Below are 24,864 nucleotides of genomic sequence, written 5' to 3' on the forward strand. Positions count from 1 at the left end.
TATTCTAATTCAGTTACCTTATACATATGAGATTATGAAATTTCTTTCTTTCTTTTTTTTTTTTTTTTGAGACAGAATCTCGCTCTGTTGCCCAGGCTGAAGTGCAGTGGCGCCCGTAATCCTAGCACTTTGGGAAGCTGAGGCAGGCGGATTCCCTGAGCTCAGGAGCTCAAGACCAGCCTGGGCAACACGGCAAAACCCTGTCTCTACTAAAAATGCAAAAAATTAGCCGGGCATGGTGGTGCGACTTGTAATCCCAGCTACTTGGGAGGCTGAGGCATGAGAATCACTTGAACTCTGGAGATGGAGGTTGCAGTGAGCCGAGATCAGACAGAGCAAGACTCCATTTCAAAAAAAAAAGAAAAAAAATCTAGATGAAGGAAAGAACCCAAAGAGATCAGTGGAGGCCCTAAACTGCTTTTGATCAAACATTCATCATACTAGGGGAAATCGAATGCTCGTTTTCATAGACTTGTAAGGCACAGAGGGAAAGAAGAAAAAGTTAAGTCCCATTCAAGGTGGGGTGTATATCATGAGACTATCTCCCCTTAAATCTAGGACCCCATATGCTTACATTGTAGTGGTGGTACTTAATGTAAGGTTGTGCTGGATGTAAACATGCCCCCGACTGCCTGAATGTTGCCTTGGAACTGAGCACAGCAGGGAGGGTCCTAGCTCTGAGATTTGTAGCTCAAATTCACATCACTTGGCTGTCAAAAAAAAGGAAGGAAGAAAGAAGGAGAGGAGGGAGAGAGGGAGGGAGGGAGGAAAGATGGAAGGGAGGGAGGGAGGGAGGGGAAGGGAAGAAAGAAGGAAGGGAAGGAGGGGAGGGAGGGAGGAAGGAAGGAAAGAAGGAAGGGCAGAGGGAAGGGAAGAAAGGAAGGAAAGGAAGGAATGAAAGGAAGGAAGGAAAGAAGAAAAGAAAAACCCCTCGAACTGTGAAGTGGGACAGTGGGACTCAGATTGACAGATGCAAATATATATTTTTCCTGGAATAATGTACCCTCCTTCTGTATCTCAAGACTCACCACAAGAGTATCAAGGTCAGTGAGCAAACATACTAGGAAACAGGACACCAAGGATGATTATCACTATGACAACAGACAGCAAAAACAGACCTGGAAAGATTCCAGATAATGGAATTATTAGTCTCGTGTTATAAAATCCCTATGTTTAGCTGGTTTGAAGAAATAAAAGACAACGTAAAAGGATTTATAGGTAGCATGTCATTATAGTCACCTAGCAAATTTGGGGAGAAAAAAGGAACTAGAACTTCTAGAAATGAAAAATAAAATAATCAACATGTAAAACTCAGGCTAGAAACAAGCCTTGAAAGGATAAAAGTGAACTTAAACTTCCTACAAGAACAAAACTCATTCTTTAATGAAAAACCACAAGGCTTGATCCAGGTCTCAGATCATGTGATCAGCACTTAAATTCTCTTCCTTCTTAGCATTACTTTCTTGATGCCCCAAGATAGTTGCTAGCAGTTCTTGGGACTATAGACTTCCCAGTTAAAGTTATGACTTGAAATAATGAGATTCATGTCCCTTAACTTACCTCCCTTATTTTCTGTCTCTCTCTGCTCGTGTATTTGCAGAACGAATGCTGGAGTTAATGGAGCAGTCAGCTGTCGATCTTAAGTCTCCTTAAGTAGAAAGCGGGCAGCTGGGTAGCCTTTGCCTTCACACCAGCCACTCACTGATGGGATTTTTCTCTCTGTAGTTTTAGGCTGTTCTTCAGTGTCTTTGTTTGAACGTTATATAATTGATGATCCCAAAGCTTTCTACATATTGGCAGGAATTGTTTTTGACCACAGCGTCAATGACAGCAATGGATCTTTGCCACTTGCGGTAAGAACATCCTTTCTCTAACAATTGTACTGTGCTGCCGAGACTTGAGCATGTGTTCCTTCTGCAGTCTTGTTGGCTGACCTGCCCCCGGCTTTTCTCTGTGGCAGCTTTGTCATCTTATTTCCAAAGGAGATATGCAAGGGCTCCTGTGTTTCATGTCTTACAACCTAGACTTTGAGGTCCCTTCCAGTTTTCAAATTCTTTAGAAGGCTTGTTGTGAGCAAGCCTTTATCCTGAGGGTACAGGATGGCGTATATTAAACTGCCTGATGACAGATGCAGACTACAAGATCAGCCTCCACAGACTTGCATTCCAGCCCTGCAACTCACCAGCTGTGTAACCTTGGAAAAACATTTCTGGGCCTCGGTGTCCTTATTGTTGTGAGGGCTAAAAGAGTTTTATGCCTATAAAGTGCTTAGAACAAAGCCTGGAACAAAATAACTTTCCAGAAGGATTAGTTATTGTTGTCATTACTAATAATCTTATGGACTTCAGATATGGTATGAGTGTGAGTTTGTTTAAGGAAAAGTTCATGTTGTAAACATGGGAATATTTGGTTTATGTTCTGGGATGGGAAAACCACTCATGTATAGCTTTTGTGTTGTACAGTGTATCTGATGATTAATTGTTGGAAGTTGCATGGGCTATTGGTAGATGGAGAGAGACATGTTAATAAAATAACCAACAATGTTTTTCAAGCATTTATTAATGCTAGGCAACACAGATACCATCTGGTTCAATCCTACTGTAGCCTATGAGGTAGACGTTGTTAATATCCCCATTTTACTCATGAGGAAACTGAGGAATGAAGTTTATGTAATTTGCCCAAGGTGTCAAGGCTATTCAGTAGGAGATTTGGGGTTAGAATCTGGGTGGTCTGGCTCCAGAGCCCTTGCTCTGAACTGTTCTGCAGCACACCATTCCTGAAGGGGGCTCAGGAGCGGCTGTATGTTTCCCAGGCTTGCACCACGGAGAATTTCCAGAGTACACAGGGAAGACCACTGTTGCAGCATGGTCTCCCAGGGGACACCTGCCAGTGTGGGCATCCTTCATCCTGTTACAGCTGACATCAAGCACAGATTTGTTCTGTCCTGTGCCTTTGCTGAGTTTCAGGAGTTCATAACCGAATTTGTTTTCTCTTTGTTCTTCATAGGTTAAGTATCAATTGCGCTTCAGTTACTTTCAGAAGAATTTTATACTGGGGAAGAATATATTTTTTCAAGATGACATAGAAGGCTGGTGCACATCCTTTCTTTACCCTCCCAATCCACGCCAAGAACCCCGGGAATTTCCATTTGCTGTTGGGGGAAGTCCTGGTGAGAAAGCCCCGAAGCTTGTGCGTGTTAAGAGCATGGCCGTGGCTGGGCGCGGTGTCTCATGCCTGTAATCTCAGCACTTTGAGAGGCTGAGGCGGGTGGATCACCTGAGGTAGGGAGTTCGAGACCTGACAAACATGGAGAAACCTCATCTCTACAAAAAATACAAAATTAGCTGGGTGTGGTGGCTCATGCCTGTAATCCCAGCTACTCAGGAGGCTGAGGCAGAATTGCATGAACCTGGGAGGCAGAGGTGGCGGTGCACTGAGACTGGGCCATTGCACTCCAGCCTGGGCAACAAGAGCGAAACTCCGTCTCAAAAAAAAAAAAAGAGCATGGCCACTTTTGTTGTTTTGTTTGTTTTGCTGCCAGCACATAAACTAGCATTTCAGAAGAGGTTGAAGGAGTTACATTTAGAAATGTGACATTCAGTAAACTGCTTACATTCTAGAGCAAGTAAAAACAGTAGTTATGGATTTGATTGTAACAATATTGAATTGTTTGGAGGAAGGATGGAAACATTTTACTGGAACAAGGAGTGCAGGGACCAGTGGGTGGCCAATTTAGCAGTGACATTTGTCATCATGGAGGAAACATGATCTGTGCTTTATGCATGTTTAAGATTTTCTCGGCTTCCCTTTTCCACCTGCAAATACCACTCCTATTTGGTTATTTTATTTTATTTTGAGATGGAGTTTCATTCTTGTTGTCCAGGCTGGAGTGCAATGGCACAATCTCGGCTCACTGCAATCTCTACCTCCCAGGTTCAAGCGATTCTCCTGTCTCAGCCTCCTGAGTAGCTGGGATTACAAGTGCCCACCATCACACCTGGCTAATTTTTTGTGTTTTTAGTAGAGATAGGGTTTCACCATGTTGGCCAGGCTGATCTCGAACTCCTGACCTCAGGTGATCCGCCCACCTCGGCCTCCCAAACTACTGGGATTACAGGCATGAGCCACCACTTTTGGCCCTATTCTATCTTTTTAAACACATGTCCTGTTCAACACGCATGTCATATTGTATGATCTATGTCTAACATGCCTCCATTACAATCTCCACTGACTGTATCCTTTGCATTTCATCCGTCTCATTTAATTTAATGAAGAAGAAACAGAAGATAATCATCCACACTCTTGGGACTCTCTGCATGTCTGTGCAGCTCCAAAGAGTCTGTTCCTGCTTTGGGGGAATCCCTGAACTCTTTCTGGCCTGTTCATTGGCTGATGCTTCACTTTGATTTTATTTACTCTGACTGATGCTTTTAGATCTTGCCTTGATTCTTATTCCATCCTCCCTGCCCCATCTGCAACACTGGTGCAGAATCCCAGTTCCTGTTCTTCAGGCCTCTTGGTCTTGGCTGGCCCTCTCCCTTTCCCTCTCATGAATCTCCCTATCTGCATTTCTAGTCTGGGAAAATCTCCTTTTCCCTGTCTGTCATTCAGGATAAGAGGACAGAAAATTAATGCCAGAAGGTTGGAGTTTTTCCAGGAGTTCCTATTTGTCCCAAGGGCTGGCATGTGGTCCCAAAGCCAGGTCCTGACTCCTGGCTGCCATAGTCCTCTCTTCTTGGGGAGCCATGCTGACTTTCTGCTCTGTCACCCTCTGTTGAGGGTGAAGGAGAGAGCCTTGCTGAGTGGCTGCTTTGCATCTGCTTGCTCTCTCCCATGCAAAGGGGTCTAACTGCACCTGACAGAGCAAACACCTAAAACTTGGCACCCAGTACTCCCTGGATCTGCCTGCGTTGCCCAACTCTCGCTTCTGGCAACCCCAGGTTCCTAGAGAAGTACTGGGGCAACACTGACACCTGTGCATCCTCTGTCCTTCACAATAAGCATCACATTCCCGACTGAAGGCCCATGGGCCAATCCGCTCTTGAAAGACTCATGCTCTCCCATTCACTTTAGATTTTTTGGTCTTCCTTTTTGTGAGGGGTTTAGGGTGAACATCCTCTAGGCAACTAACTTTTCTTAGAAAATTAAGCTGGTAATCTACATCTGTTGTAGAATGGCTCAAATATTGGCTTGAAGCCTCAGGCCTTTGTGCACACTAAGTGAGAGTCCAAGTCCGAGTACTTACAGTTTTGCATAATTCTAGAAAAGATCCAGCAGTTCTGCAGTGAAAATACTCCTACACACAATCAAGAATATGTAACCATTCTGAGAATTTATTACCAACAATTTGTTCCTTCTTTTTCCTGGACAGATCTGAGAGTCTGCCTAGGTCTAGGCCATCTGAAGACCATAGCCACCTCTACTCCTGGGAGGGGGTTGAGGTACCCCACCTTGGCTTTGCTCATGTTGGAGCCTGGTAACCATTGCTTGGAGGTGGGGCTGTTATCTCTTAGAGGACCCCAGAACCAGGAATCTTTGCCTTTCAGCCTATTTTTCCTGAAAGCTGACCCCATCATGCCAACTATGCTGTATTGAAATGAGTGTTGCTTGTGATAAGGACTGTTTTTGAGACTTAGTAGTAAAATTCACTGACCATAAACCCAACAGCGGTAACAATTCAGAAGTAGGTCACAACAGGTTAGGGAGGCTGTGTCTTTCAAGTGCTTTGAGTTTAACCATCTCATATGAGTGCTTTGAGTTTAACCATCTCATACGTGCTGTGTGATCAAAACTGCAGAAGAGGTGCTCTTTCCCTGAAGTCTGAATACTAAGGGGAGGAGATGTGGTCCCACCTCAAAAGATTCTTGTATTGGACATCTTTTATTTTGCCTGCCCAGGCTCCTTTACCCCATTTTTGGATCATATATGCATTACCCTCAGCTCCAGGGGTCTCCCTTGTGACTTTCCTCTCTTTCTTCCACACTGTAGTGAGGACTCTAGGGATGCCTTTCCTACCGCTGTCTGTCTCTATGAATGCCTAGCCATGATCCGTCTGAAACACCAGTTGTTGTATCTTTATACTTTCTTTCTTTTTTCTTTTTCTTTCTTTCTTTCTTTCTTTTTTTTTTTTTTTTTTGAGATGGAATCTCCCTCTGTTGCCCAGGCTGGAATGCAGTGGCGCAATCTCAGCTCACTGCAACCTCTGCCTCCCACCAGGTTCAAGCAATTCTGCCTCAGCCTCCCGAGTAGCTGGGACTTTAGGCATGCACCACCACACCCAGCTAATTTTTGTATTCTTAGTAGAGATGGGGTTTCACCATATTGGCCAGGCTGGTCTCGAACTCCTGACCTTAATTTCTTGATATTCACTATTTTCTCATAGGATACAACAAAGAAGGCTTCCTGGCCATACAGTATGCTGTGGATAAAGCCATCATGTGGTACCATGCTCACAATGCAATGACCAACATGTTTGAGAATCTCAATGTACTTGTGAAGAGATTCCCATATGGACCCTATATCGAGGACAGGTTCTTCCTAGTCCTTCAGAATGAGTTTTCTGTGTTCTTCATACTCAGCTTCATGTACATTGAGCTCATCATCATCAGTTCCATTGTACTGGAGAAAGAGAAAAGACTGAAGGTAACCCCAGATACTTCAAGTGTATGCCTCTCCTGGGACAGGGGTATGGGGAAGCTGCTAATGAAAAATGACCAGAATAGGAATGAAGCCAAAAGGAGGTTGCTTAGGTGTCCAAGCAACTTCCAAGGTGAGTTGGAACTTGGAAGGTTGTTCACAATTTTAACTTGCTTGCAATCTAGGTGATCCCACCTCTGTTATTACATGAATCCTTGCCTTTAGTCTGAGAATGTCCAGCCTGGTCATTCCTGGTTGGTCAGCACACTGCCTCCCACTAGGTAGGTGTTTGAAAAATGCTTGTGGAATGACTCATGATAAGAGATCTACCCTTCACTATTCACCACCTTGCTTGATGCCCTGAAGGCTGACCTGTAGGGATCCCAGCACATGCTCCCACAAGGAATCTGGCAGGACCTCAGAGGGAAGAAGTAGGAGGATGAGGTCCCTGTGTTGACCTCAGGCCAGCAGGGAGAGATCCCTACAGGTCATTTTGGGCTCAGCTTGTTCCTTAACTGAAGGTCACTGTTCTCGCAAGATGTCTTGCCCTACAAGACTCTCCCATTCTGGATTCTGGTAGCCTCTCTTTCTTCTCATCCATTTGGATCCAAGGAAGGTATTCATGCTTTTGCTGCTAGCCCTAGGTTTCTGCACTATCCTGTAGGGTTTTCTGTCTCTGTGCACACATGTGCCTGTTATAAACAAACCCTCTTTGAATTACTGTAATTTGAATATAACAGTTGTTTCCTTTAGGGATCCTGAATGATACACAATTATATGAGAGAACTACTGCTATTATTCTTATTTAGTAGAGGAAGTAACTTGAGACATAGAGAGGTTAAAAATTTCCAGATAATTTTATATGGAACAGTACAACCTAGCCATAAATACAGTTTTCATTCCCAGATAAAGAGTAAAAGTAAAACAGTTTTCCAGTAATTAAGCTTTAGCTTCTCTGAGTGGAATCTTAGATGAAATATGCCAGAGAGGAATGTGTTCCATTTCCGCTTGGTGCAGAGTCAGGAAAAGATAGTCTCTTGGGGAGTTCTAGAATAGCATTTAGCCCTGGACGCTGATAGGATCAATGTTGTCAGCTCTTCCATTCTATTCAGGTGATGCCCTAAGACCCAACCCAAACTTTCAACTCTTCCTTGGCAAGGACCCAGGAGTAGGCAAGTTGTATTCCAGGAGGAGTCATTACTATGGGAAATATTCCAGGAGGGAGAATGCCCTGACGGTGTTTGGCCCTAGGACCAAGGTGGGATATGGGGAATGGGGCACTAATGTCATTTCCTTCTTTGAACACTGAATACAACTAATAGAACTCTTTCTTCCTAAACTCCCTCATGTTTATTTAGTATGACTATGTAGATGGATTAAGGAGAATTAAAACACACTGTCCTTAATTTAGGAATGACCCGTATCACTCCATCCCTCCTATTCCCCTCACCCTTTCAAGCATAGTCCCTTTGCTCTGGTTGACCGTGTTCCTTTTCTGTTCCCCAAATAGGTATTAGGTATTCTGCTCCTCCTATAGGCAGGCCTCATTGTTTGGCTGCTCTTCTTCAAAATTTATATTGCAGTTCATTTCTTTCAAGAAGTCTTTCTAAATTTCATCAGTCTTTCATCCCATCTTCCTATAGTTTGTTGTTTCCACCTCTTAACTGATCTCCATGTAATTAATTGTCCAAATTAACTGACATTCTATCCCCTCTGTAAAACTCTCAGATTGAAGCTCCCAACACACTGCAGCTGGTAGGCTTCTCTCTAGCGAATCTGGGTTTATCTTTTACCTGCTGAGTTGTATGCTTTTTAAAGTTTGTTCCTAAATCTCTTTATACCTGTACTTGTTCTTATAATTTGTAATTTAATTAAATATTATGTAAATAGATGGAGTGGACTGGAGTTACCTTTGAAAATTTAGTTGAATGCTTTGGAAAGATTCAGTAAGGCAAATCTCTAAAAAAAAAAATGCTAATAAAGTTCGCGTGAGGCCAGGCGCAATGACTCATATCTGTAGTCCTAGCTACTTGAGAGGCTGAGGTGGGAGGATTGCTTGAACCCAGGAGTTCAAGGCTACAGTGAGCTATGATCGTACCATTACACGCCAGCATGGACAACAGAGTGAGACCCTGTCTCTAAAAAACGAAAATGATAAAATAAAAAATAAATTTCACGTGGGTGAAACTTCTGTAAAATATGAGAAAAAAATACAGAAACCTGGTCAGAGTCTGTACTACAATGCTTCATGCCTGTATTCATGTCCTCAGTCCACTTTCAAGGCTGTGATCTTTGCTTTATGGGTGGGGCTCACATTGCTCCAATGAGCAGGCCCACACTTCAAGAGAAGAGTTTGTGTTCTGACATAAGAATACCAACACAAATTGTACATTTATATGCTATAAGTAAAAATAAAAATGTAAGGTATGTGTATAGCATTTTTGTGGTTCCCTGCTTACCCAACTTGTTTTTGATTAACCAACTAACTACTAGTTCCATTATTAAAAGGTAAAAAGGCTTCTTCTGTAACTATAGTGTGGCATATACAGTATTATTATCATATATGTGTCTTCAGTACTAGATTGCGAATTTTTAGAAGACAGTACCTTTGCCTTTTATATCTTTTAATTTTTCCTGCATGGTGCCTAGCACAGTGCTTTGCATTTATTCACTTATCAAGTATTGATTGAACGACTTATATTTATGAGGCACATGCATTAGAGATAAACATATAAATGACACAGCCCTTTCTCTCAGGCAATTTACAGCAATAAAACCAAGTGTTACAAAAGAAACCCAAGTGCAAAGGTAATGGAGTGTGTAGATGTCACGTCTCTGTGGAGAATGGGCAACGCTGACCAGAGAAAGCTTCACAGAGCAGGTAGCTCTTGAACTAGGCTTTGAAAATCAACTAGGATTTTGCTAGTTGAAGAGAATATGAGAGAAAAAAGAAAATGACATATGTAAGAAAAAAATGTTTTTAAAGACATCGAGGTCATAGTGCATTCAGTGAATTGCAAAATGTTTTGTGTAACCAGGGCATAGGATGCCAAGGAGTTTAGATTTTCTTTTCAGAACTATAGGACTATAGGAGCCATTCACTTATAGTAGACTTACTATTGTAAAAGAAGAATCATGTAGTAGGTCTATCTCTACTATATCTAAACCAGGTAAATGCCATTCACTGGTTTGTACTTTTCTTTCAAACTCAGTCTCCACCACTCCTATTAGCCACCTCTTCCCAGTATACACACACAACCCTTCATCCCAGTCTGTTGGAGTTTCAGTAACAGACTGCTGAACCAGGCAAGCTAGAACTGAGTGTTGAACTGTGTAATGCCTGCTTGTTTTGCTTTCTCTAGGATTACCTGTGCGTGATGGGACTGGAAAGCTGGTTACACTGGGTTGCTTGGTTCATCACGTTCTTCATTTCTGTCTTCATTGCTGTTTCTTTCATGACCATTCTCTTCTGCACAGAGGTACATATCTCTTGTCCTTCAAGATGTGCTAAGCTATGAATAGGTGGGAAAGAAATTTGGTGTTTTGTGGGTGGTAGTGCTGAAATTCAATATATGATGGGAAACACCATTTTTTATTTTTTTGAGACAAAGTCTCACTCTGTCACCCAGGCTGGAGTGCAGTGGCATGATCTCGGCTCACCGCAACCTCCCAGGTTCAAGCAATTCTCCTGCATCAGCCTCCCAAGTAGCTGGGATTACAGGCACCTGCCACCACGCCTGGCTAATTTTTGTATTTTTAGTAGAGGCAGAGTTTCACCATGTTGGCCAGGCTGGTCTCGAGCTCCTGACCTCAAAAGATCCGCCTGCCTCGGCCTCCCAAAATGTTGGGATTATAGGCTTGAGCCACTGCACCCAGCTGGACACACCATTCTTGATGAACACTTGGAAAATCTCAGGTTGTATGTGGTGGTATTCTCTGAAACTTGAGGCATTTAAGCATTTAGAATCTTTCAGATCAGGGAGAGCTTTGTCCTCCTTTCAGTTCCCTCGCCTTCAAGTACTGGACATGGGTGTGGTTAATATCTTTAGTAGACTGGAATGCCAAAAATGTATCTTATAAACTTTAAAACATAAATTTTATACTCTACAAACGATTAAAAGTAGTTATTATAAAAGATAACATTCTTTTATGTCTATGACATCGTTATTTTTCTTTTATATTATCAATGAAATTTGGTGTTAAATTTGCCAACTTGCATTTAATGACTAGATTAAAACCTATTACTTGGATATACGAACATTTACCTTCTAAATTATCAAAATTGGGGCAGGTTGAACAAAGGAAAACAAAGAAACCCAGACTAGTCAGCAAAATATATAAAACAAATGAAATGGCTGGAAACATTAAAAAAAGAAGATATAAGATATCAAAAGGTATAGCAAAATTATCTGTAATAGTGATCATGACAAATGAGAAAAACACACTTATTAAAAGAAAAAAACTTGTCAGGCCATGGTTGCTTAAAAAAAAAGGATAAAAGAAAAGTTCACATTGGATCAAAAATTAAATCCAAACTTATGCTTTCCAGAAAAGGATACATGTACAGAGCATAATTTGTAAATGGTAATGGATGTGGGAGGAAAGGTCCTGCCTTAAAAAACTATATATATGTGTGTTTCTAAGATCATCTCAGATTTTAAAAACAGTTTCTTCATTGTTTTCATGGAAGTTTTGCTTTCTTCTTATTTTGTTCATGTAAAAATTATATCTATGATTGTTTTATAGATGAAAAATGTGGCACTGCTTAAGAACAGTGACCCTAGTCTGATATTTGTTTTTCTAATGTGTTTTGCCATTGCCACAATTTTCTTTGCATTCATGATCAGCACATTCTTCCAAAGAGGTGAGTCCTGATACAATTTTCTGTCAAGGGGTGTTTATGACTACTTCTTCCAGTAGCATTGCTATTCCCATTATCTACAGCCTTCATTATTATTTCTTGAGAGTCACGTTTTCACTTTTATGGTTATTTTAACAATAGAAGACTTCCATTCTCCACTAAAGGCTTGTTGAAACATCTCAATATATGTATGTTTTTATATTTCATTTGTCTCCTTAATATAATTTCAAATGGAGGCAGTCTCAATTTGGAAGGGAATGGAGGTGTAAGACATCCAGGGCAGATAATTTCCCAGGTCTTGATTATGATGTTGGGGCACAACAGTAAAATGGCTTCTAAGACACCATGGTAAGGGAGGAGTTCCTAGACATTTTATTATTATTATTTTTTTGTCAAGAGGAGGTGTTACCTCTAAAACTATTGGTAGAATTGATAAATTACAAAGGACAAAAATAACAGGGAGTAGAGTCAAAGAAACAGTGCAGGAGAAAGAATTGTGGGTCAACATGGAGAGGTATAGGTAGAAACATTAATGAAGGACAGGCCCAACAGTTGGTGACATAAAAAAGGGAGTTCAAGAGAACTGTGACAAAAAATCAAAGTGTAGTATAAATGAAGCCAAACAGCTTATCATTTACATTTGTGAATTTTTTGCATCAAATAGTATGTTCCAATATGTGGGCCCTGACAAATTGTGACTCTACCAAGATGAGGATGGATTCTTAAAGAGGTCAAATGGGCCGGAACACTATCTCCTGATTCAAACTCTGTATCTAGTTTCCCACATCTGCCTCCATAGCCCTGATGCTCCTCATACGTGGCTGATGCTCTTTCCACTGAAGGCATTTGAGGAGCAGCAAAATAGTGAAGCTGTGTCAGAGGTGCCTTTGGCCACCCCTCTGGTATCAGGACTTTAAAAACCAAATCTTAGCCCAGCAGGCACTTGCTGGGCAGGCTCTGCGTGCATCAGGACTGGGGCACAGCAGTGTTTCTGAAAGGATGGTCCTCTCTCAGATACAGACACTGTTGTTCCTGACAGTGTTGACCATTTAGGGAAGGCCTCTCCCCCTATATAGGCCTGTGAGGTTCTCACTGCCTGAAGGGTATCCAGCTACACCCCCAGGCTAAGAGATCAAGGAGGCAAGTCAGGTATGTGTGTGAGTTATTTTTCTGCCTCCCCCTCATCCCTCTCTCCAGAGAGCCTGTTCTGTTTACTTCTGGATCCACAGTGTCTGAATAGTACTTGGCACAGAATAGGCATTCCATAATATCATTGAATGAATGACTGAATTAATAAATGAATTGCAAATACTGCCAAAATGCAGACTGGGAATGATGTATCAGAGCTCTGCCATGGATTTCTGCCATTGGTGACATGGCATAAAAAAAGCTAACACTGGCTGGGCACGGTGGCTCACGCCTGTAATCCCAGCACTTTGGGAGGCCGAGGCGGGAGGATCACGAGGTCAGGAGATCAAGACTATCCTGTCCAACACGGTGAAACCCCGTCTCTACTAAAAATACAAAAAATTAGCCAGGCATGGTGGCGGGCGCCTGTAGTCCCAGCTACTTGGGAAGCTGAGGCAGGAGAATGGCGTGAACCTGGGAGGCAGAGCTTGCAGTAAGCCGAGATTGCACCACTGCACTCCAGCCTGGGCGACAGAGCAAGACTCCATCACAAAAAAAAAAAAAAAGCTAACACTGCCCTGGGGAAAGTGGCATCACTAAAGGATACACAATGGGATTCAGTAGCCTTGAAGATGCTGAGCAGGGAAGGAAAATCTGGCTGATTGCCTAGGACATCGGACAGCAAAGGACTTCTGTATCGTAATTGGTGGTAGAAAGGCCCAAAACCTGGCACAGGCATGTTTTGTATCTTAAACGCCATGTCCAGTAAAGTTATGTGGTTTTTTGTTTCTTTTTTGAGTTCTATTTAGTTCTTTTGTTATTATAACTTTACATTAAAAGACTTGTTACATTTACTCTACAATAGTATTACCTTCTCCCCTTCCCCCCCCACCCCCAAACAATCATGGATGCTTTCTTATTCACAGCCAAAATGGAAGATCTAACAACCAGAGGGTGATTTGGCAATAAGTATCAAAATCCTTTCAAGTCTTGTCCCATCTTTGACCTGCCAAATCTACTTATATTGATTTAGAATAAGGAAATAATTGGGAAGCAGTCAAAGTTATATCACAGGTTTATACTTGTGAAAAATTGCAAATAACGTAAGCATCCATTAGTCTGGACTGAATCAAGAAATAGGGTATGTTCATAAAAACAAAATCTTTTTAGGCCTTAAAAATGATATAGGGCCGGGTGCTGTGGCTCATGCCTGTAATCTTAGCACTTTGGAAGGCAGAGGCAGGTAGATCACTTGAGCCCAGGAGTTTGAGACCAGGCTGGGCAACATGACAAAACCCCATCTCTACAAAAAATATACAAAAAAATGACGCACACCAGTAGTCCCAGCTACTGAGGTGGGAAGATCACTTGAGCCCAGGAGGTCGAGGCTGCAGTGAGTCGTGATCACACTACCGCCCCGAGCCTGGGCAATAGAGCAAGAGCCTAGCCTGTCTCAAAAAAAAAAAAAAAGAAAAGATTTTGTTGATGTGGACAAATGGCCTCAATACATTGTTAAATGAAAAAGCCAGTTAGACCAGCCTGGCCAACGTGCTGAAACCTCATCTCTACTAAAAATACAAAAAATAGCTGGGTTTGGGGGCACACACCTGTAATCTCAGCTCCTCAGGAGGCTGAGGCATGAGAATCACTTGAACTCGGGAGATAGAGGCTGTAGTGAACTGAGATCATGCTGCTGCACTTTAGCCTGGGCAACAGAGCCAGACCCTGTCTCAAAAAAAAAAAAAAAAGCCAGTTAGAAAACTAGAATTTATACTTATATTCTCATTTGTGTTAAAAAATAAATGTATGAGTACATTAATTAATAATTAAAATAAATTTTTGAGTACATTTATTTTTTACATAAAAAATACCTAAGGCTATATAGCAAAATGTTAACAGAAGTTTGTTTTTTTTTTTATTTTTATTGTTGTTGTTGTTTTTGAGACAGAGTCTCGCTCTGTCGCCCAGGCTGGAGTGCAGTGGCGTGATCTCAGCTCACTGCAAGCTCTGCCTCCTGGGTTCACACCATTCTCCTGCCTCAGCCTCCTGAGGAGCTGGGACTACAGGCCCCCGCCACCACGCCCGGCTAATTTTTTGTATTTTTAGTAGAGACGGGGTTTCACTGTTTTAGCCAGGATGGTCTCGATCTCCTGACCTTGTGATCCGCTCGCCTCGGCCTCCCAAAGTGAAATGAAGTTATCTTTTAATGATAGGATTTGTATAACTTGTTTTCTTTGTTATACCTTTTTTTGACCTTGTTGTAATAAGAATTTATTGCCTTTTTCAACCAGAAAAAATACCTAGAAAATAAGAATAAAGACAATGATAGTATGCGGGTAGGCAGGCTGCAAAATTTTATGCTGGCATACATTTGGCAATGAGAACATTCATTTATTTATTCATTCATTGAACAGATACTTATTAAGAATCAGAGATAAGTCAGAGAACTTGCCTTCAGGGGTCTCAATTCAAAACTGTTAGATTCCCACAAAACTTTTCTTAATCATATTTACTAGGCATCCAAATTATTATTTAATACTTACAGTAATGTAATTTGCTTTTACATGTGCCTATGTGTGTTTTATTCATTTAACTCACTGGAATTTCTCAAAAGTAGGGAGGATATCTCCTATCTCTAATACTCCCCACACATCCTGGTACATTGTCATGCATAGAACATACATACTCCTTGGATGCTGCTGATTTCACTGACTGTGGCAAAGAAGTAGTATAAGGACAGTGTGTGTGAGAACAAGTGAACAAAGCAGAAAGTATCATCGGGCCTTCGTGCTGCTGTGTGCTCTGACTGAAGATAACTTCAGTATCTTGTCTTCCCCTTGGTTCTAGGTCTTATTCCCCCTACAAGTGGATGTGCATATGTCAATGGATATGAAATTTCACAAGAGATATTTCACATTAGGAAGAGCCTGGGCTGGTGCCCCAACATGATGTCTTATCTGATAAGTTAACAGTAGCAGAACATCTTTCTTTCTATGGTCAGGTGAGTCGATGGATAACAGGGATTTGTTTCCTCTGTATCCACTCTTGGGAATGATGAGATAGACTGCAGCTCTCTGATTCAACTCAGGGTAGGTCTTTTTTTTTTTTTTTTTTGAGATGGAGTCTTGCTCTGTCACCAGGCTGGAGTGCAGTGGCGTGATCTCAGCTCACTGCAACCTCCTGGGAGTGTCTTTAAAATGAAAACTTGTGTTTCTCTATTCTCAACACTTCTGACACCAAATGTATGTGGAGTTTTCCCACACCAACCAATTCTCCAACTCTGCGGATAGCAACTGAGTGTCCTACAATTCAGTTCTTAATGCTGACTATCTAAAGTTAATGCAGACTCCACAGGTTTAAGGCTCAGTCTCACAAGATTGCCCCCATCCCTGACTTCAGATGTCAGTTGCAAGTTCCAGGTTGTTACCTGTACTTCTGACCAACTGGCTGTTGTTTGGGGGTTCCGACAACCTCCTCCTTAGGTTTGATAATTTGTTATAAAAGCTCACAAAACCCTTTATTATAGAGGGTATTATGAAGGATACACATGAACAACCAGATAAAGAGGTACACAGGACAAGGTGTGTGAAAAGCAGTGCAGAACTTCCATGCCCTGTCCTAGTATACCACCTTGGCAGCACCTCAGTGTATTCACCAACCCGGTAACTCTTCAGAGCCCATAGTTTAGATATTTTTAGGCAGGCTACATCATGTGGTCATGACCAGTTATTAGCACAGCCTCCAATCCCTCTCCCACTCCCTGGAGGATTGGGGGTGAGGCTGAAATGTCCAAGCTTTTTTTTTTTTTTGAGACGGAGTCTTTCTCTGTTGCCCAGGCTGAAGTGCAATGGCGTGATCTTGGCTCCTCCACCTCCCAGGTTCAAGCGATTCTCCTGACTCAGCCTCCTGAGTAGCTGGGATTACAGGTGCCCACCACCAGGCCCAGCTAATTTTTTAAATTTTATTTTTAGTAGAGATGAGGTTTCACCATGTTGGCCAGGCTGGTCACGAACTCCTGACCTCAAGAGATCCACCGGCCTCAGCCTCTGAAAGTGCTGGGATTACAGGCACGAGCCACCACGCCTGGTCTGAAATTTCCAAGCTTCTAACCATGGCTTGGTCTTTCTGGTGACTAGCTCACATCCTGAAGCAGTCCAGGAGCCCACCAAAAGTTGCCTCCCTAGAACAAAAAGATGCTCCTATCACTCAGGAAATTCCAAGGGAGTTGGGAATTCTGTGTAAGAAACCAAATCAAATATCAAATCGAAGACCAAATATTAGAACAAAAGATGCTTCTAGCAGCTTTGTCACTCAGGAAATTACAAGGGCTTTAGGAGCTCAGTGCCAGGAACCAGGGCAGAGACCAAATATATATTTTTTTATTATGTCAGTCTTGAAACCTCTTCTGGACACTATTCCTTAAACATTCAGGAAGGGTGAAGGGCATGGCGTTTAAGTCAAGATTTCTGAGTTAAAGGATTTCTACAAATGACTGTATTTGAATTTTTATATATTTTTTACTTTTTATTGAGACAAAATTCACATAACGTGAAATTCATCATTTTACTCATTTTACAATATTCAATTCAGTAGTTTTTAGTATACTCACAGTGTTTTGTTGTTTTGTTGTTGTTGTTTTTTTCAGAGTCTCACTCTGTTGCCCAGGCTGGAATGCAGTAGCACCATCTCAGCTCGCTGCAGCCTCCACCTCCTGGGTTCAAGCGATTCTCGTGCCTCAGCCTCCCAAGTAGCTGGGATTACGTGCACCTGCAACCATGCCTAGCTAATTTGTGTGTGTGTGTGCTTTTTTTTTTTGAGACGGAGTCGCACTCTGTCACCCAGGCTGCAGTGCAGTGGCGCAATCTTGGCTCACTGCAACCTCTGCCTCCCGGGTTCAAGTGATTCTCCTGCCTCAGCCTCTTGAGTAGCTGGGACTACAGGCGCATGCCACCACACCCAGCATTTTTGTATTTTTAGTAGACACAGGGTTTCACCATGTTGGCCAGGATGGTCTCAATCTCCTGATCTCATGATCCACCCGCCTCGGCTTCCCAAAGTGCTGGGCCTGGCCTAATTTTTATATTGTTAGTAGAGATGGGGTTTCGCCATGTTGGCCAGGCTTGTCTCAAACTCCTGACCTCAAGTGATCCACCCACCTCAGCCTCCCAAAGTGCTAGGATTACAGGTATGAGCCACCGTGCCCAGCCTGTATACTCACAATGCCATGTAACCATCACCACTATCTTATTGCAGAACATTTTCATTGCCCACAAAATAAACTTATACACATTATCAGTGACTTCCCATTGCTCCCTTCCCCTAGTCCCTGGCAACCACTAATCTGCTTTCTGTTTCTATGGGTTTGCCTATCCTGGATATTTCATATAAATGGAGTCATACAATATGTGGCTTTTTATGTCTGGCTTATTTCACTTAACATAATGTTTTCAAGGTTTATCCATATTTTAGTATATATTTGTACTTCACTCCTTTTAATAGCTGCATAATATCCATTCTACTCACCTGAATGTTTGCCCATTCCTCAGCTGATGGACATCGGGTTGCTTTCACCCTTTGGCTATTGTGAATAGTGCTGCTATGAACATTAGTGTTCACGTTTTTGTTTGAACACCTATTTTCAGTTATTTTGGGTAAATACCTATAAGTGAAATTAATGGGTCAGATGGTAACTCTATGTTTAACTTTTTTGTTTGTTTGTTTGTTTTACTTTTTGAGAAATTGCCGTTAGTGTGAAGTAGTACCTTGTGGTTTTGATTTGCATTTCTCTGTTGACTAATAATGTTGAGCATCTCTTCATGTGCTTATTGGCTATTTGTATACTTCTTTGGAGAGATATCTATTCCAGTCCTTTGCCTGTTTTTTTGGTTGGGTTCTTTATCTTTTTGTAGTTGAGCTGTAAGAGTTTTTTTTGTTTTTGTTTTCTTTCCATTTTTTTTTTTTTGAGATGAAGTCTCACTCTGTCACCCAGGCTGGAGTGCAATGGTGCGATCTTGGCTCACTGCATCCTCTGCCTCCCAGGTTCAAGCGATTCTCCTGCCTTAGCCTCCTCAGCAGCTGGGATTACAGACGTGCACCACCACGCCTGACTGATTTTTTTTTTTTTTTTTTTTTTTTGTATTTTTAGTAGAAACAGGGTTTCACCATGTTGGCCAGGCTGGTTTCAAACTCCTGACCTCAGGCGATCCACCAGCCTCAGCCTCCCAAAGTGCTGGGATTACAGATGTGAGCCACTGTGCCCAGCTTTTTTTTTTTTTTTTTTTGAGACAGCCTCTCACCTCTCACTTTGTTGCCCAGGCTGGAGTGCAGTGACAGGATCTCACCTCACTGCAATCTCTGCCTCCCAGGCTCAAGTGATCATCCTGCCTCAGCCTCGCAAGTAGCTGGGACCACAGGTACAGGCCAATTGCCTGGCTAATTTTCGTATTTTTTTGTAAAAATGGGGTTTTACCATGTTGCCCAGGCTGGTCTCAAACTCCTGAGTTCAAATGATCCTCTCGCCTTCGTCTTTCAGAGTGCTAAGTGAGATTATAGTCGTGAGCCACCGCACCCAGCCTGTAAAAAGTTTTTAAGTGTATATTCTAGATCCTAGGCCCTTGTTAGTTATATGATTTGCAAATATTTTCTCCTACTCTGTGGATTGTCTTTTCCCTTTATTGATAGTATTTTTAAATTTAAAACAAAAGTTTTAAATTTTGATGAAATCTAATTTATCTTTTTTTTATTTGTTACTTACGCTTTTGCTATTATATTTTAAAAATTATCGTCTAGGATTTATACTTATATTTCTTTTTAAGATTTCATAGCTTTGGTTCTTAGATTTAGATCTTTGGTCCATTATGAGTACATTTTTGTATATGGTGTGAGGTATGGGTCTACATTTATTCTTTTTCATATAGATATTAAGTTGTCTCAGCACTATTTGTTGAAAAGACTATTCCTTCCCCATTGAATGGTCATGGCATCCTTGTAAAAAGTCTATTTACCATAGATATATGGGATTGTTTCTAGACTCCCAATTCTATTCCATTGTTCCATATGTCGGTTGTTATGCCAGTACCACAATGTCTCAATGACTGTAACTTTCTAGGAAGTTTTGAAATTAGGAAATATGAGTCCTCCAACTTTGTTCTTCTTTTTAAGATTGTTTTGGCTATTCTGAGTCCCTTGCATTTCTATATGAATTTTTAGGATCAGCTTGCCTATTTTTGCAAAAAAAAAAAATAATAATAATAATAATAAGGTATTGGAATTTTAGTAGGGATTACATTGAATCTCTAGATTGCTTTGTGTTTATTTTTATTTTTTTGAGATGGAGTCTTGCTCTGTTGCCTAGGCTGGAGTGCAAAGGCTCAATCTCAGCTCACTGCAACCACTGCCTCCTGGGTTCAAGCGATTCTCCTGCCTCTGACTCCCGAGTAGCTGGGATTACAGGTGTGTGCCACCATGCCTGGCTAATTTTTTTGTATTTTTAGTAGAGACAGGGTTTCACCATGTTGGCCAGGCTGATCTCGACCTCCTGACCTCAGGTGATCCACCCACTTCGGCCTCCCAAAATGCTGGGATTACAGGTATGAGCCACTGCACCCAGCCTCTAGATTGCTTTGGATAGTAATGTCATATTAACAAAATTAAGTGTTCCAATCTATGAACACAAAAGGTATTTCCATTTATTTAGGTCTTCTTTAACTTCTTTCAGCCATGTTTTACAGTTTTCAGTGTACTTGCCTTTCTTGCACTTCCTTGATTAAATTTATTTCTAAATATTTTCTCTTTTGTGATACTAATGTAAATGGAATTTATTTTTGTAATTTCATTTTTGGATTGTTCACTGCTAGTGTAAAGAAATACAACTCCCATTTGTATATTTATCTTATATCCTGACATTTTCCTAGGCTCATTTATTAGCTCTAATAGCTTTTTGTGGATTCTTTAATGTTTTCTATATATAAGTTTATGTGATCTGCCAAGAGGCAATAGTTTTACGTCTTTCTTTCAGTCTCGATGACTTTTTTTTTCTGGCTAATTTCCCTGGCTACAACTTCCAGTAGAATGTTGAATAAAGTGGCAAGAGCAGACATCCTTGTCTTGTTCCTGATCTTTGTGGGGGAAGCTTTCAGTTTCACCATTAGGTGTGATGCTATCTGTGTTTTTTTCATAGATGCCTTTCATCATGCTGAGGAAGTTCCTTTCCATTCCTAGTTTGCTGAGTGTTTTTATCATGAAAGTGTGTTGGATTTTGTCAAATGCTTTTCTGTGTCTACTGAGATTGTCATGTGATTTTGGCCCTTCTTTCTGTTAAATATGCTATATTACTGCAGTGCAGTTTGACTCTAACAATGGGCTGGGTGTGGTGGCTCGTGCATGTAATCCCTGCTCTTAGGGAGACAGAGGCGGGAGGATAGCTCGAGCCCAGGAGTTCAAGGCTTGCCTGGGCAATATAGCGAGACCCCATTCTCCAAAGAAAAAAGGAGAAAAAAAAGACCAAAAAAAAAAGTGTGACTTTAACAATAGAGTTAGCATAGGCTTCACACATTAGAGGTATAGTCCCCCACAAGATTGCCCCCACTTTGGAACCCACAAGCTTGGAGGTTCCCAAACAAACAAAGCACTTCTGACAAACTGGCTGCAATTGTGGAAGTCCCACTATTCTCTCAGGTTTGTTAATTCACTAGAACAACTGACAGAACTCAGGAAAGTACTATACTTATGATTATAGTTCTATTCTAGAGGATACAATTCAGGACAGGCCAACAAAATAGCTGCATGGGTGGGGTCTGGGAGAGTCCCAAATGCAAAGCTTCTGTGTCCTCAGGACGTAGCACCCTCCCAGCATATTGGTGTCTATTGGGTTAGCTCACCTAAGCTTTGAGTATCCAGTTTTTATTGGGGTTTTATTACACAAGCATGAATGATTGAAGCATTGGCCACATCATTGAACTCCATCTCCAGCGTTCTTTCCACAACCCAGGAAACTCGGAGGCAGGGTGACATCACATAGCTCAAAGCCCCAGCCTTCTAATCACATGGCTGGTCTTTCTAGTGTGACCATCCCACATCCTGAGTCACCTCCTTAGCATAAACTCAGGTATGATGATGGCAGGGTGGAGATCCACTATGAGGAACAAAGATACTCCTATTACTCCAGAAATTTTAAGCATTTACAGGCTTCTTTCCAGGAACCAGGGACAAGGGCCAGCCAGTTCTTTATTATAAAAACTGAAACCCTGGTTTTTCATGTGCTCAGCCTCCCTTGCATTCCTGAGATAAATCCCACTTGGTTGTGATGAATAACCCTTTAACATGCTGCTGTATTTACTTTTTAACATCGTAAGTTTATTTACATGGTTCAAATGCAAAAGCCTTTGTCCATCCCTTTCCCTGAAGGTAATGAGTTTCTGGTGTAAGTTTTTATGTATATGTATACACACAACAAAATGTTCGCTGGTCAGGGTCGGCCTCCCGCCAGGAGCCCTGCATCTCCCTGCGTCCCCTGTCGTTGCAGCTGAAGGGCCTGTCACGTCAGAAGTGCCCTGAAGTCAAGCAGGTGCTGCACATCATAGGCCTGGAGGACAAGTGGAACTCACGGAGCCGCTTCCTGAGCGGGGGCATGAGCCGCAAGCTCTCCATCGGCATCGCCCTCATCGCAGGCTCCAAGGTGCGGCGGTGGGACTGGAGGCAGTGGGTTCCCCTCCTGCTCGACCTGGGACTACAGGCGCCCGCCACCACTCCTGGCTAATTTTTTGTATTTTTAGTAGAGATGGGATTTCACCGTGTTAGCCAGGATGGTCTCGATCTGCTGACCTTGTGATCTGCCTGCCTCGGTCTCCCATAGTGCTGGGATTACAGGTGTGAGCCACCGCGCCTGGCCTACTTTCTATTTCTTTTTTTAAAAAAAAAAAGGCTGGGCGCAGTGGCTCATGCCTGTAATCCTAGCACTTTGGGAAGCCGAAGCGAGTGGATCACCTGAGGTCAAGAGTTCGAGACCAACCTGGCCAACATGGGGAAACCTCGTCTCTACTAAAAATACAAAAATTAGCCGGGCATGGTGGCAGGCATCTGTAATCCCAGCTACTTGGGAGGCTGAGGCAGAAGAATCGCTTGAACTCAGGAGGTGGAGGTTGCAGTGAGCCGAGATCATGCCATGGCACTCCAGCCTGGGCTTCAGAGAGAGACCCTGTCTGAAAAAAAAATTAAAAAATAAAAAATAAAAAAATAAAAATTATTGGGTAATATTTTATACCTGTAAATATATGTTTCATATATGTAATTATGAAGTGTAAATAACAGAATGAGCACTAGTGAACCCTCTATGCAACCTAAGAACTAAGACATAGCGATAACTTTTTACCCTAACCATACTCAACCCCACAACATCAGTTACGTAGTTAACCATTTCTTTCTTCTTGAAACACTCTTCTCTCTTGGCTTCCTTGGCAAAATTTACTCCTTGGGGGTTTTACTCCTACCTGTCTGGCCACTCCCAAGTGGCAGTGGGAAAGAATGGGAGACAAGCAGTGTTGAGAGAGGTGGTTATGAAAAGGTCAGTTAAGAATTCTTTACATTTGAAAGGCCCCTGAGCCACCCTAGTGGAGACATCAAGAAGGCAGTTGGATGTGAATGAAGCTGGGCATTGAGGAGAGGGTCAGCCTGGAAATGCATGGGAGTCATCTGCTTGTAGAAGTATTTAAAGTTGTGGGAAGGGATACGGTCAGGTAGGAAGAAAACATAGAGAAAGAAACAAAGGAGCTTACAAACAGTTCCTGAAGCGCTCCTAAAATTCGAGGTTCCACAGAGAGGGACCTTGCAAAGAGGCCTGGAGAAAAGAAGCCTCTTAAAGATGAATGGAGAATAAGCACAAATATGTAAAATTGGAATTGAGAATTGGGGGAAAAAACCCATAGATACCAAAAAATTAGAAGACAATATTTTGTACAGTTTTAAACTAATATATTAGAAAACCTGAATATAATGGTAGACTGTCCAGAAAAATAATTTTATTAAAATTGACTCAATAAATACCAAAAAGTTTTTATAAACCTGATCACTTTTATCAAATATTTAAAGAAAATATAATTTTGATTTTATTCAAAGTCTTCCAGAGAACATTAAAAAAATACAGGCTGGCAGTAGTGGCCCATGCTTATAATCCCAGTACCTTGTGGGGCTGAAGCAGGAGGATCACTTGAGCCCTGGAGTTTGAGAACAGCTTGGGCAAGACAGGAAGACCTGTCTCAACAGAAAAAAAGAAAGAAAGAGAGAGAAGGAAAGGAAGGAAGGAAGGAAGAAAGAAAGAAAAGAAAGAGCCAGGCTTGGTGGTGCACATCTGTAGTCCCAGCTACTCGGGAGGCTAAGGCAGAAAGAACGCTTGAGCCTGGGAAGTCAAGGCCACAGTGAGCCGTGATCATGCCACAGTACTCCAGCCTGGGCAAAAGAGTGAGACCCTGTCTCAAAAACAAACAAACAAACAAAATCTCCCTGCTCCTTTTTACTAATATGGGTTAATATAATCTAGCAGATCACTGAAAGAATACTGCACCATGTAGTTCATTGAAAGACTACTATACCATATTGAAAGGATTGTTTGATAGTATCATTTATCAATAAAATTTCCCATAATATGTCAAAAAGAAATCACCATGTATTCATCCACATATAATAATTTACTTAGGAATGCAGATAAGAGCATGGCCAGCCAGGAGAGGCCTGAGTCCTTAACCCCACCTCCCTTCAGAGAGCACAGTGCTGCAGTGGCTGGCCCCAAGTCTGATGCAGCCAGGGCAGCTATCCCTGTGAGGCCTGCCAGGTAAAACCTTGTAATTACCTATAGTCGGGCCTGAAAAATCATACATGGGTTTTTAACCATGAGCCAGACTCCTCAACACACAAACAAAATCTCATCATAAATTTAAAAACAGAAGTCACTTCTGCTTCCAGTCATGATGGAGTAACTGATAAAGAGCATACTCTCCCACTAAAACTCGACAAAAATATATGAAGCCATTTCAGATATTAAGCATTAGGAAGTCCAGGACCATGTTTGATTCTTCAGAGAAGAGAAACACTAAAGAGAGGCCTATATTTGCCCCAGCTCTTCGGCTTGGGCACTTTCCAAAACATGGCCCAGAAAAGTAAAGGCAAATCAGAGTGTAGCAGTGAACTTGCTGAGCTGAGAAGGTAGAGATGAGAGGTCAGAGCTCCTGAAGTGTCTGGACTTTGTG

General features: G+C 41.9%; 1 pseudogene across 1 annotated transcript in view, besides 1 other annotated feature; it reads left to right on the plus strand.

The window, feature by feature from the left end:
* The window catches only part of ABCA17P (ATP binding cassette subfamily A member 17, pseudogene), an 85,778-nt pseudogene that overhangs the window by 23,034 nt on the left and 37,880 nt on the right, over positions 1 to 24,864 (plus strand). Inside the window, exons 3-8 of the transcript NR_003574.1 lie at positions 1,726 to 1,853; positions 3,007 to 3,169; positions 6,383 to 6,642; positions 9,999 to 10,115; positions 15,473 to 15,626; positions 22,149 to 22,301. The product of NR_003574.1 is annotated as an ATP binding cassette subfamily A member 17, pseudogene (transcript). The remainder of the gene's footprint in view (positions 1 to 1,725; positions 1,854 to 3,006; positions 3,170 to 6,382; positions 6,643 to 9,998; positions 10,116 to 15,472; positions 15,627 to 22,148; positions 22,302 to 24,864) is intronic.
* Positions 2,970 to 3,319: an enhancer, noted in NCBI's record as "active region_10264". NCBI's record gives its function as "activates an Ori minimal core promoter by ATAC-STARR-seq in GM12878 lymphoblastoid cells {active_cell/tissue: GM12878}" and the evidence as "EXISTENCE:reporter gene assay evidence [ECO:0000049][PMID:35858748]".

This window comes from Homo sapiens, chromosome 16 (genome assembly GCF_000001405.40).
Source record: "Homo sapiens chromosome 16, GRCh38.p14 Primary Assembly".
NCBI classification, from domain to species: domain Eukaryota; kingdom Metazoa; phylum Chordata; class Mammalia; order Primates; family Hominidae; genus Homo; species Homo sapiens.